The sequence below is a fragment of the Homo sapiens genome, chromosome 3 (genome assembly GCF_000001405.40).
Source record: "Homo sapiens chromosome 3, GRCh38.p14 Primary Assembly".
NCBI lineage: Eukaryota > Metazoa > Chordata > Mammalia > Primates > Hominidae > Homo > Homo sapiens.
The window spans coordinates 69,459,992-69,473,577 of record NC_000003.12 but is presented as its reverse complement, the minus strand read 5'-3'; the positions used below and the strand labels follow the sequence as shown (position 1 = coordinate 69,473,577).

The 13,586-nt window shown below is 40.5% G+C and overlaps 1 protein-coding gene and 1 pseudogene across 5 annotated transcripts in view, besides 1 other annotated feature; both read left to right on the top strand.

The window, feature by feature from the left end:
* Window positions 1–13,586, top strand: part of FRMD4B (FERM domain containing 4B) — a 373,805-nt gene that overhangs the window by 69,009 nt on the left and 291,210 nt on the right. The gene's annotated exons all lie outside the window — the stretch shown is intronic.
* On the top strand, window positions 1,049–3,153 carry RBM43P1 (RNA binding motif protein 43 pseudogene 1; annotated as a pseudogene).
* Window positions 10,644–11,144: an enhancer, noted in NCBI's record as "H3K27ac hESC enhancer chr3:69511585-69512085 (GRCh37/hg19 assembly coordinates)". NCBI's record gives its function as "activates a minimal SCP1, AML or CMV promoter by ChIP-STARR-seq in primed H9 embryonic stem cells {active_cell/tissue: H9 hESC(primed)}" and the evidence as "EXISTENCE:reporter gene assay evidence [ECO:0000049][PMID:30033119]".

Here is a 13,586-nt window from a genome sequence, read left to right as displayed (position 1 = left end):
AGAGATTGATATGGCTGGAGAGGTAAATTAGGGTCAAATGCAAGATGGCTATATGAAAACCATATGAGGTCTGGGCTTTGTGGGAGACAATCAAATCTCCAAGTTCAGAATGAGGAGTGAGATGGAGATTCAGATACGTGCTGCATTGCCAATGAAGCCAAATTGTAGAATGCAGTTTAGACTGGAAATCGAATTGGCCTTTATTTATTCTAACCCTGTAACTGGACTTTGGAGCCTAAACTTGGGAAGAGTTGACTTGGTAGAGTGGACAGAGCCATCAGCTGGATAGAAGATTGCACCTGACCTCACCCTTGTCAAGCCCAAGAATACATAAGTGCTTGCTGGAGGTATGGAGTATAGGAAGAGAGAAGGCCAAAGAAAGCAGATGCCAATAATTGGTCTTCTGCCATCCTTGTCAGATAAATTACTTCTGAAAAGAAGGGCTAAAGGTTTTCCTCCAACCTTCATTCCTTTGGGGAACATCCTTTCTCTTCAATTTACAATCATAAGGAGTGGGATTAATGAGCATAACCCCCCTATATGGAAGTTAGATCTTAAATTTCTCTCCTTTAGAAATAATGCCCAGAGGGAATTAGTCAAAAATAAGATTCCACCCCCTAAGCCAAAAAAAAAAAAAAAGAAAAAAAAAAAAGAAAGACTCACTTGAAGCCTTGGATATGCTACTACAGCCATCACTATGGATAAAACTTCTGGTCCTTTGGAGCCCTCTACTCCCAATATGACCAATATGGTAATACTTGAACATTTGACCCATGGCAAGTCCCCATGGGATGTCCTCTTAACACTGGACTGGTGGCAACCCCTCTTCCGGGTCCCCTCTCTGCAGCGGAGAGCTTTCTTCTTTTGCTTATTAAACTTTCGCTCCAACCTCACCCTTGGTGTCCACACTCCTTAACTTTCTTGGTAGTGAAACAGAGAACTTCTGGGTGATATCTCCGGCTATTGGCTATGAGACACTGCTACATTGTGGTGCATTGGCAAAACTGTAACATTTTGGTGCATTGGCCAGAAGTGGAAACATCCAAAGGGCATCAGTTTTGAATGTCAAGGAATCCAAAGCTTTGAAAGAACAGTTGTAACTACAACTGGTTGTACTGGCTGGTCTTCCGTTTGGCCTTTTTAGTGATTAATTATTGGCCATATTAGTGAAGAGGCACTTCCAAGATATTAAGAATGAGGGTGGAGATGTTGAAGATGTGATATATCCAACAAGAATCCCAGGGAGTTGCATCTGTAATATGCAAAGAAAAAAAAAGTTGCAGAGAATGTCATCAGACATAAACAACAGCCAACAAGGAAGGCTGGACATGCTGAACTCACAGTCTCTCATTTTAGTCACAAGATCTTCAGCTCTGTAAATGCTATCCTTGATCTTTCTGTTTTTGGAAGTGAAGTTACTCTAGAAATTCTGGTAATGAACCTGAAAAAGAAATTCCCAACTTTAAGCTTTAGTCCTTTGGAAGCTAGTGGAAGACTTTCCATGGAAGGATCATTTCTAGCTGTCAAAGAGGCTCAAATAATCTTTGCAAGTAAAAGCAAGTTCTCTTTTATAAAAAAAAAAAAAAGACAACTTTCACCAGTGAGGGGAGAAAGTAGAATAAATAGAGCCCCCAAAGGAATCTATAGAGAGGCAATAACTCTTTGGAGTCAGTCGGGACCTTAGTACCTGAGACTACTAGAAGTGGAGAAATACTTCTGCCCAACACAGATGTTTTTCTTTACCTGAAACAGAAATGTGGATTTTTTGAAAACGCACTGAACAAATTCCATATTCTGAGTCAGAAGAGAGTGGATGGTGAAATGACCACAATTTGTCTAAAAAGTACTCAAGCCCGTTCTCAACCAAACAATCCAAAACATGTAACAGAGCTCATTGAGGAATGGTCACATGCTCTTCATTTAGAGCTTAGAAAAGAGACATGTATTTTGGGGGGGAAAAAAGGAAAACAGAGAGAAAATCATTAAATGGGCATATGAACAATTAAGTTTGAGATATCTTGGAGTCCTAATTAACCTTTATAGGACACACATTGACATTATAGGATCTTCTTCTGACGCTTACCTATTTTTAAAAGGGGTCATGAAATTAATAGGGCAAAAGGTTAGTTAATAAAATCTCAGCAATATAGTGATAAGGGCTACATTCTCTTGCTGAGCAGTGACCGTTGCCATGAGTGAGGCTATCTTTACACACCTTATCTCATTAATCCTTATGATCACCCTTCATGATCAGTGTTTACTATCCTCATGTTATAGTGGAAGAAACTAGCATTTGAAGAAGTTAAAACACTTTTCTGAAGTTATCCAGTTGACAAGGAATGAGGCTGGGACTTAGCCCGGTCTATTTGATTACAAAGATATTATCTAAGGAATTAAACTTTGAAAAAAACTCACCAAACCCCTTGAAAGAATCTTACCTTCTCTGTAACTTCAAATGATTAGAAAAAAAGTAGCCTTAACATATGAGAAGTTTGGAAGATAACTCTTATGCCATGGGCAATTTCTTAACATTTACAGTTTGTGTTTACTGCGTGTAGAATTAGAGTGTTGGCAAAAATCACTTAGGAAACTACCTAGGTGGACAGTATTTCTGATGCAGTTAATCATTATTTGACTAAATTCTATTGTTTCAAGCCTGTCGGCCATGTGGGATGGTTTTACTACTACTTATTTAGCCTAAGTGCTTACATAAAATGTTGATTCTCTTATTATAATTGTGCAAATTGATCATATGAATTGGGTAGATCTTGTCATGCCCAAATAAAACAGATTCGAAAAGCTAGGGGGAAAAAGTACTTAGGACACTTAACATTGCCCTAGGAATGTAGTTCTCTTTGAGCCTGGTTACTGAAACTGCTTGCTGTAGCCTGAGACCAGTTTTGTCTACAGCTGCAGAGATAACTTGTTGCAACTCTAGGACTAATTTACCTATGGCCATTGCCCACCAATTGGAGCTTACCAGCTCCCCAGAGCTTTACTAATACCAATGAACTTTCTCTGAAGACCACAAGTAACTTTCTTCTTTCTAAATAAAACCCTCTTTGTTCTTTGGACATACTTCTCTTTGTTCTTTGGACATACCAAAGACCACCTAGAATTGAAATTATTTCTTCTCAAATAAAGCATTAAATTAAAAAAAACTGGACTGGTAATTTGAAGTAGAACTTGCAAAATGGTGTTTTACTATACAAAATGCTTCTCCAAGGAATAGAGTCATTTGGAATGAAAAGACAAACCAAACGTTTTAGTATCCCCTTCCAAACTCATCATGAGTATGCTTTAAAAAGAAATACACATTTTGGCAAAACAAAAGCTTTCTCTATTAATGTAAATATGATTTCCATAATGGACTGCACTGTGGTGCCTTCTCAATGTAATTGCAAGAAACCTCTTTGGCTGCACTGAGAAATCTTATTTACCACCATAAATAATAAACTTGTTTTCTGCAAAAGTAATCTCTTTGGAGAATACCGATCCAAAATATTCCCATCATCTTGGAGTCTCTAATGTGTTTTGCATCTGGGTGTCTTGGGGTGTATTTCAACAAACCTCTGAACTAGATTTTCTGATTCTGTCCCACAGAGAACTGTGCTATACTGCTGTTAATCTGAAACATTCGCTGCAACACAGCAATTTGGTGAAATTATAATTGAAACAAGGTACTTGACCCTGAGGGGACCATAGAGAAAGGGATTTGCTTTGGTGGCTTCTCATGCATCATTTAAAACCTGCTGCCGCTAAATCAAAGTCTCGCTTGTATCTTAACTATATAAAACCTTTATCAACAGCCATTTCAGCTGGGCTGTAGAATACTGTGCTCTTAGCACTATCATTTTTCTCTATTTGTCTGTCTTTAATTTTCCATAAATTGAATTACTGTGATTAATAATAATCTTGTGGAGTAGGGGCTTGCTATGGGATTCTGGTGACCAGTGAGCAAAATATAATTGAACCACTCTCATGCAGTTTAACTGAGGAAAAGAGATTTGAAATCAAGGAAAATCAATGAAGTTCAGTTATTTCACATACACAAGGTAATAAACTGGGCCAACAAAGTATTGCTGATTGCTGAGATCCTTCTGGGATTCACCTAAAAAGAAGAGATGAAAGGGATGTGTAGTTTTACCTATATCTAAGTAAATACGTTCTGCTAAGTCATGTAGGGAGGCACTTAAGAACATTTCTTTTGAATTTTGCTTACATTTCTGAGTTGTTTTAATTAAAGAGTCAGTTGAACCAAATCAAATTAACCCTCTCTGCTTCTTCTCTAGCTGAGACTTCCTATACTGCATTCTGATGACGCCTCATGACCACTGTAGCTATGTTACAATATTTATTTCTACCTTTTCCTTGTAGTAATAGAACCGGCAAATGGCCACCCAGAATAACAACTACATCCCCGAGCCTCCCTTGCAATTGGTTGCAGCCATGTCACTAAGTGAGATGTGTGAGATTAATTTATGGGTTTTATTTTTAAAGGGATTTGGTAGGAACACCTCTGCAAACTCTTAACATGAGAAAGAAATCAATTTATCTCTGGTTGAAGTCACTGTATTTTAGGGTGTCTTTGTTACATCATCCCAGTATGATTCCTTACTCAGCTTTTGAAGCTCGGACTATACAGGCCATAGGTCTGTATTGATGGCAAAGTTGGTTATTTTCAGCAGCAATTAACAGATACCTGGACTCAAACATATTTACACAATGAAGCAGATTTTTAACTCTCAGAACAGCAAGTCCAGAGGTGGAGCAGTCCCTCGACTTGCTTGATTCAGTCGCTCAATAATATTATTAAGGTCTCAGCTTCATTCCCCCTGTCCTCTGTCATCTTTGGTAATAGCTTCATCTTCAGACTAGTAGCAAATATAGCTGCTCCAGTTCTGAGCATCACATCCAGACAGGATAGCAGTCAAAGGAAAAAGAGAGACAATTTTTTGTGGCTGCTCCTTAAGAGCAGAAAATTGTCCATAAGTATCTCCCTTCCCCAGTAGTGTCCCTTTCATGTTTCAACACCCAATATTTATTGCATTTCTGACCCTGTTACTGACCAGGGGAATGAAATTACCCCTAGACCAAACAGGTCCATCTCTGGGATTTAAATACAAACAGGTCCATATCTCTGGCTGCATGAGAGAGCTTAAGAAATAAACATCACTGAGTGGAATATTTGGGAAATGAGTGATGGGTAGGCCACCAACAGTGTCTACTACACAAGAAAACACTATAAAAGGATCTGAAAAATATAAATGAAAAGGGAAAAAGGAAATAAGTAGGAGGGACATAGTCCGAACAAGACTATTCATGAATTGATGATTGTTGGGAGTTCATGAGGATCCGTGATACTTTTTTTCTCTGCTTTTGCATATATCTGAAATGACCTGTAATTTAAAAAAAAACTTTAAATAAAAAGAAATAACCCAAGCAAAGCAACAGAATGTAAGGTAGCAGGAAAAATTTGATCTGTTTTCATGTTTCAAGTGATAGCTAACATTTATTGCACATTTGCTCTTTGTCAAAAACTCTGTTAATCAGTTCAGAATGGCTTACACCAACAGAAGAATTTATTTGCTGGTGTGACTGAAACTTTTCAGGGTAGCTTCAGGCCCAGGTGAGTGTATCCCTTGGCTCTGCGTTTTTCCACATTGGTCAACAGTTCCTGGCTGACTCCTATTTCTTCAGTGTCCAAAAGGAAAGAGCACCCTCCTTTTTAGTATTTGCAGCAGAAGGTCCCCTGCTAGGATCCCATTTACCTAGCATGGATTCTGTACCCGTACCTAAACGAGTCATGATCAGGAGAATGTGGTGCTTGGACAGACTAGTCATATTCTTCTTCTGGAGTTGGGAGGTATATACTAGGATTGAGAAGAGCTGAGACACTATGGTTGTGATTATGTCATTTATTTCTCACAAAAAACCCTAGGCACATTCTTTTATTAACCCATGTTACAGATTTAAAAATGGAGGCTTGACAAGGTCAGGTGACTTGCTCACAGTCATGTAGCTGGTAATGGGAGAGCAGGGATTGAAACAAGGGAAGCTTGATTTGGGGAACCACAGGTTTCACTGCCTACAGTGAGCGAAACAATTTTTTTTGAACCTAGGTCTCTACTGGCTGTGAATCTCCATAGCCAATTCACAAACAGTGAGGTGCCACTCTAGAAGACTGTGTGATGTAGTAGTTGTGAGCATGGATTTTAAGAGGCAGATGGATTTGGGTCCAAATCATGCCAGTTACCGCTCAAATGCTAGCTCTCTTAATAAGTCACAAGTGCTTCTTGGTGAAGTATTTCCTAGCTTTATTAGCTTCCTTCCAGAGATGGAAAAGTTGAGCTTGGAGAACCAAAGTGACATGTCAAATTGCAGACCCAAACAGTACCTCCACTTCTCATTGGCTCCAAAGCCCATTCTTTTTCCATCTTACCAGTGCCTTAGAAAATACAGTGGGACCTCTGGGGGAGAGAGATGGAGACAAATAAGCATGTTCTGGCTTTCTAACTTTTGCTTTGCCTAGAAGGCGGGGATTCTAATTAAGGTTTTATTTTTTAAAAGACTTCTAGCCGGGCACAGTGGCTCAAGCCTGTAATCCCAGCACTTTGGTAAGAGAAGGTGGGCAGATGGCTTGAGCCCAGGAGTTCAAGATCAGCCTGGGCAACATGGTGAGACCCTGACTCTACAAAAAAATAAAAATAAAAAATTAGCTGGGTGTGGTGGTACATGCCTATAGTCCCAGCTACTCAGGATCCTGAGATGGGAGGATCAGTGAACCTAGGAGGTCAAAGCTATAGTGAGCCATGATTGAGCCACTGCACTCCAGCCTGGGTGACAGAGTGATCCTGTCTCAAAAATAAAAGAAAAGAAAAGGTTTTGCTTTTCTGTTTGTTGGTTTTAACTTTGTGTTGTGAGAAAATACAAACATAAACAAAGGCAAAATGTATGATTATCATTCCTGTATCCAGCATGCAGGTTTCAACAATTATCAACTCATGGCCAACTGTGCTATATTAGTACCCTATTTCTCCCCTCCTTATTATTTTGAAGCACATCTCAGATATCACATTATTTTTCTGAAAATATTTCAGTGTGTATCCTCAAAAGATAAGGACTGTTTTTCCACAAAAACAATCTCATACCTTTAACATTTAAGAATAATCCAGTTTCTAATCAAACTAAAGAGCTTCTGCACAGCAAAAGAAACTATCATCAGAGTGAACAGGCAACCTACAGAATGGAAAAAAAAATTTGCAATCTACCCATCTGACAGAGGGCTAATTTCCAGAATCTACAAAGAACTTAAACAAATTTACAAGAAAAAAACAAACAACCCCATCAAAAAGTGGGCAAAGGATATGAACAGACACTTCTCAAAAGAAGACGTTTATGTAGCCAACAGACACATGAAAGAATGCTCATCATCGCTGGTCATTAGAGAAATGCAAATCAAAACCACAGTGAGATACCATCTCATGCCACTTAGAATGAGAAAAAAAAAAGTCAGGAAACAACAGATGCTGGAGAGGATGTGGAGAAATAGGAAGGCTTTTACACTGTTGGTGGGAATGCAAATTAGTTCAACTATTTGTGGAAGACAGTGTGGCAATTCCTTAAGGATCTAGAACTAGAAATACCATTTGACCCAGCAATCCCATTACGGGGTGTATACCCAAAGGATTATAAATCATGCTCCTATAAAGACACATGGACACATATGTTTATTGCGGCACTATTCACAATAGCAAAGACTTGGAACCAACCCAAATGTCCATCAGTCATAGACTGGATAAAGAAAATATGGCACACATACACCATGGAACACTATATAGCCATAAAAAAGGATGAGTTCATGTCCTTTGCAAGGGACATGGATGAAGCTGGAAACCATCATTCTCAGTAAACTATCACAAGAACAGAAAACCAAACACCACATATTCTTACTCATAGGTGGGAATTGAACAATGAGAACACATGGACACAGGGTGGGGAACGTCACACACCGGGGCCTGTCGGGGGCTGGGGGACTGGGGGAGGGATAGCATTAGGAGATATACCTAATGTAAATGATGAGTCGATGGGTTCAGTAAGCAAACATGGCACATGTATACCTGTGTAACAAACCTGCATGTTGTGTACCCTAGAACTTAAAGTATAATAATAATTTTAAAGAAAGAATAATCCAGTCAATGCTAACCTAAATGTCTCATGGAATTCTGTATTTCCTGAAGGTTTTTTTTTTTTTTTTTGAGACGGAGCCTCGCTCTGTTACCCAGGCTGGAGCGCAGTGGTGCAATCTCGGCTCACTGCAACCTGGGCCTCCTGGGTTCATGCCATTCTCCTGCCTCAGCCTCCCAAGTAGCTGGGACTACAGGTGCCTGCCACGGCGCCAGGCTAATTTTTTGCATTTTTAGTAGAGACGGGGTTTCACCATGTTAGCCAGGATGGTCTCAATCTCCTGACCTCATGATCTGCCTGCCTTGGCCTCCCAAAGTGCTGGGATTACAGGTGTGAGCCACCACGCCTGGATGAAGATTGTTTTTGACTTAAGGTCCAAATAACATCAGCTTTTGGGGATTGGTTGATATGTCTGTAAAGCCTCTTTTAATCTGTAAGTTTTCCCTCCATCTCTTTGTTATTTCCCCTTGCAGTTTAGACATTGAAGAAAATTGGTTATTTGACCTGCAGAGTTTCTCACAGTCTGGATTTTGCTAATTTCATTGCCGTGTTGTAATTCAGTGTTCTGTTTGATGCTTGTTGGTAGTTGGATCGAGATAGTTGTTAAGATTCAGGTTCAATTTTGTTTTCTGAAGACTAATTTATTGACGGTGTGTTGTTCCCTTAGGAGCCCCATTGCATCAGGTGATCACTCGGGGATATTGGCAATCAGTGATGGATCCATTAATTCATTAAGGGCTGTGAAATAGTGATATTCTAATTCTGTCAGTTTTTTTCCTCCTGTCCTAGAAGGACCACTTCTATAAGAAAGGGGTCTCCACATTTAAAACATTTGCAAACCATTGCATACTGAGTATCACATGGTCTTTACTTAATCTGTAGTCCTAGTTTCATGTTTTAGAGAAAAGAAGAAAGAAAAACACCATTTCCAGGCCTTATCTGCCTTAGAAATCATATATAGGTGACAGTTTACTTTCTGGCCTGCAGACAGTCTATGGGTAAGGGCGCTGATAATGTTATGTTATCCTACTGCACTCACTTGCCAAGCTAGCATATTTCCAAGGCACTCTAAATGGTCAAAAAATACCTCTGTCCTGTTACCAGAAAACCTCCTGGCCAACATACCCTTCCCATTTCTGACAGGATAGGTATTAATGGGCAAAAAAAGTTACCAGCATGTATTTTAAATTACTATAAGCAAAAGTTTAATACAAATCAGTTGATCATTTATTCAGAAAGTCAGCCTTAGTTGCTGCTATAACCTCAGAATTGAGAGCAGCAGAGTCTGCACGTGGTAGTTGCCCCATAAATATGTTTGAATGGGTACGAGTTAAGTAAAGGGTGTACTGTACTTTTCCAAATGGATCAAGGTGAGGCTTCACTTATTCACAGTTTACTCCCTCTGGCTTCCAGGGTAGTGTTTCAGCAACCTGCCTGCTGTGGGAATAAGTGATCAATCATCTTCTGTGATACCCAGTAATCTTTCTACTGGGTGGATCTCTAATAGCCTTTCAAAGCTGTACTCAGGAGATGAGGCAGTCATTTCTTTGTGCAGAGAGAGCCCTCCTTTTGCAAATTTCCTTGTCCCTTTAGCTTTATGCATCATGAGCCAAAGTTTGCTTATGGATTTCCGTAGAGTCATGGTTACTAATAGGGAGTTTCTCTTCAGATAACTTATATGTAGAGTATTTTATGAAAGAGCATAAGACTTGGAGGCAGATGCAGTCTGGCTCAAATCCCAACCTTGCCTCTATTACATTGTGTCATCTCAAGTCACTACTCAGCCTAACTGGAGACTTAGTTTCCTAATCTATAAGCCAAAGATAATAGCTATCCTAAAGACTTATAATGAAGATAAAAAATTAGGATCTATAATGCACTGAGGTCATTGCTTTGAATATCACTCATTAAATGAAAATGTTTTGATCGTGAACTTTAAATACCAATATTTGTAATTATTTTGGTCTACCCTGGAAGTGGTATATGGTATGTGTACTTCAATGGACCAGAATTATGAGAAAAACTCAAAATATACCAAGTTAGAGGTAAGTCCTCACCCAGGTTCCCTGGAAAACAGATCCCCCAGGCAAAACTGTATGTGTTAGATTCTACGATTGTCATTTATTTGATATTCTAGGACAGGTAAAGCTTGATACTGAAATAAATCAGAACAGTGGTTGCCTAGGAATGTGAGAAGAGTGGATTGACTGGTGAGGGGTCTAAGGAAACTTCCTGGGCTGATGGTTGCTCTAGATCTGGATGCAAGGGTGGGTCACATAGGTGTAGGCATTTGTCAAAACTTACTGCATGCAGATTATGTTCCATTACAAAATGAAAGCTTGGGTACTAGCACTTTATTGGGGAGTGCAATCCCAGGGAAGCAGGTGTGAGTGTGAATAAGAAGGAGTGAGCAGGGAGGGCAAGGAGGTGAATACAAGGAAGTGCATCATAGATGAGAAAGCTGGCTTTGTGACAAGCTGACTACATGGTCTTCCAGGGGTGTCTTGGGAGAAGCCATATGAAATTATTATGCTTCTGAGCAGTGCAGGGGGAGAGAGGAAGAAGAGTTCATTGGTCATTTCCCTGAGAGGCCAGGAGGAATCGCCTGCCACAAGTACCTCAGTTGGTGACTGTGGCAGAGGCCTTGGCTACCTGGCTGTACAGCAAGCCATTGCCAGGGCCTCTCAGGCCAGAAACAAGGCCAGTGCACAGATATTGGGTGATGCACAAGTGACTCAGGTGTAGGCACAGGGAGTTCTATGCATGGTTAAGGGTAAGCTGTGCAGAGCCAGAATGCATGAGTCAAGATCCTGTCTCCACCACTCACCAATTATGTAGCTTTGGGCAAGTGACTTAACCTTACCAAGCTTCAGTCTCCCTGTAGCTGTGCTGTTAGTGGCCCTGGGCCTACCCCAGAAGTTGTCTTCAGACAGTTCTCATGCACCCTGACAAGGCTGTTTGTGTCTTTTACCTGAGGGCTTTCTCTAGCCACAGAAGTGAACTGCTTCTTGCTATGGGACAGGCCAGACATCAGGGAAAGAGAGGGAACATTTCCAGGAGTGACCCTCAACCAATGAGGAGTAAAACTGCAGGATAAAACTGCGGCCTCCTAGCCCCTCCATGGGAACATTCTGAGGCATGCTCACACAGTCTCTCAGACAGTTCCCGGCAAGACTGAGCTCTGGTTACTTGCGGCTCTGGTTACTGTTCACGAAGACACCATGTTTTGGCATCCTTCCCTTCCCTGACTCCATTCCTCACTTCCCTACCTATGCTTCCTGGTAATATTTCCCAGAAAAAATCCTCCTCCCTGACTCCTTGTCTCAGCATCTGCTTTTTGAAAGACCCAACCTCAGGATATCACCCGTAAGCAAAATATTGTGAGGATTCATTGGGATAATATAGAGAAGGCCCCCAGAGCAGGCCTGCCTCTTACTAAGTATAAAATAAATGGAGCAATCATTTTGGCTGTTTCACCTACAGGAAGGATGCCATGTTATTTGTCATCCAAACGGGACACTTTTGAGAGGGAAAGTGGCACTCTGTTAATTACTCAGAGACAACAGGTAAAAACTGGGGCCGTCCTGGAAAAATCCAGGATATATTGTTACCTGACAGTCATGATTTCAGTAGAAAAGAAGTTCTCTATACAAAGGAAATCCTAGCCTGGGCCAAATATTATAAACACCCCTTAACTGTTTCATAATTTCACTTTTTGTTTTAAGAGTCCATGATCTGTTTCTTTTTTTTTTTTTTTTTTTTTTTTTGAGACAGAGTCTCACTTTGTCCTCCAGGGCGGAGTGCAGTGATGCAATCACAGCTCACTATGGCCTCAAACTCCTAGGCTCAAGTGATTCTCCCACCTCAGCTGCTCGAGTGGGTGGGACTATAGGCGTGCGCCACCATGCCTGGATAATTTTTATTTATTTTAGAGATGGGGGTCTCACTATGTTGCCCAGCCTGGTTATTTTTATTTATTGATTTATTTATTTTAGAGATGGGGGGGGTCTCACTATGTTTCCCAGGATGGTCTCGAACTCCCAGCTTCAAGCAATCTCGGCCCACCTTGGCCTTCCAAAGTGCTGGGATTGCAGGCCTGAGCCACCAGGCCTCACCAATTTCACATTTTTATGTGTTATTGTTTCTTAAAGTGGAGGTGTGTACTGTGCTGCTTTATTGCCTAAAAGAGATAATATTAAACCTCAAATTTGCAACTTAACAATGAAAATGTCATTTACAAAGAACTGACAGGGGATATCACACGCAGAGAGAGCTGCTTTAGATCTAAACACAATTGAAAGAACTATTCAAACTTTTCCTGGTAGAGTAGCAAATTGAATTTTGAGAGACCAAAAACTTCAGATGTAGAATGCTAATATCCAAATGTGATGCATTTGAAAGAATATGAGAATTATTGTCTAGATAGTGTTGACCAAGAATAGCCATTTCTCATGGTGAAAATAAGAAATGTAGAATCTCAGCTCCAATTAGAGCTGGAAGGAGTCTTACAGATCACGTAATCTGGTAGTTCACAAACATCTCTGCTGCTGAAGTCACTTAGAGGAGCTTTTGTAAATATGCAGAGAACTGACCCTTATGCTTGGAGGCCACAGATGGCCTAGAGGAGGGCTCAGGAAGCTGTGTGCTGTGGGTAACCTGGTCAAATCCAGACACACCCATTTGTTTCCATATTGTCTATGGTTGCTTTGGTTAAGTAATGGCAGAGTCAAGTCTGAGTAGTTGTGACAGAGATCATACAGCCTGTAAAACCTGGAATATCTGGCACTTTATATTAAAAATTTGCCTCCCGCTAGCCAAAAACAAACTATATTTTAAAACGCTTTCCAGAAGATTCTGGTGTGCAACCAGTTTGGGAATTACTGATGACAATTTGTGTCCTCCATTTACAAATACGGTAATCCAAGAGCCCCAAAGAGTGAAGTGACTTGCCCAGCCTTGCTAAGCCGAGACAAGACTGAGGAACATCTCACTTTTTAAACCTCATCTTCCTACTGCATCACCGTGTCTCTCTAAAGATGCTACTACCTTCTGTTAAAAATCAGCCTCTTCACTTGACCATTGTGGGGCTCAGCAGACAGCAGTCGGTTCTCTGGCCAACAACATGTGATGATGAATAATGCAGTGAATTGGCTTGTCATCTGGCATCGTAACTTTCACGCATGCCAGAACGCCTTCCCTTTATCACGGGCACCATCTGAGTATAAAGCCATGTGGAATTTCCAACAAATGGCATTTGATAGACATGTGTGATGGAAATCTCTGAAGCGAAAGGCTGTGGGGAATGAGAGGGGTCGTGCGTGCTGACAGAGAATCATTTATTCCTTGGTTCATTCATTCAATAAACATTTACTAGTGCCTTACTATAAACCAAGCACAAT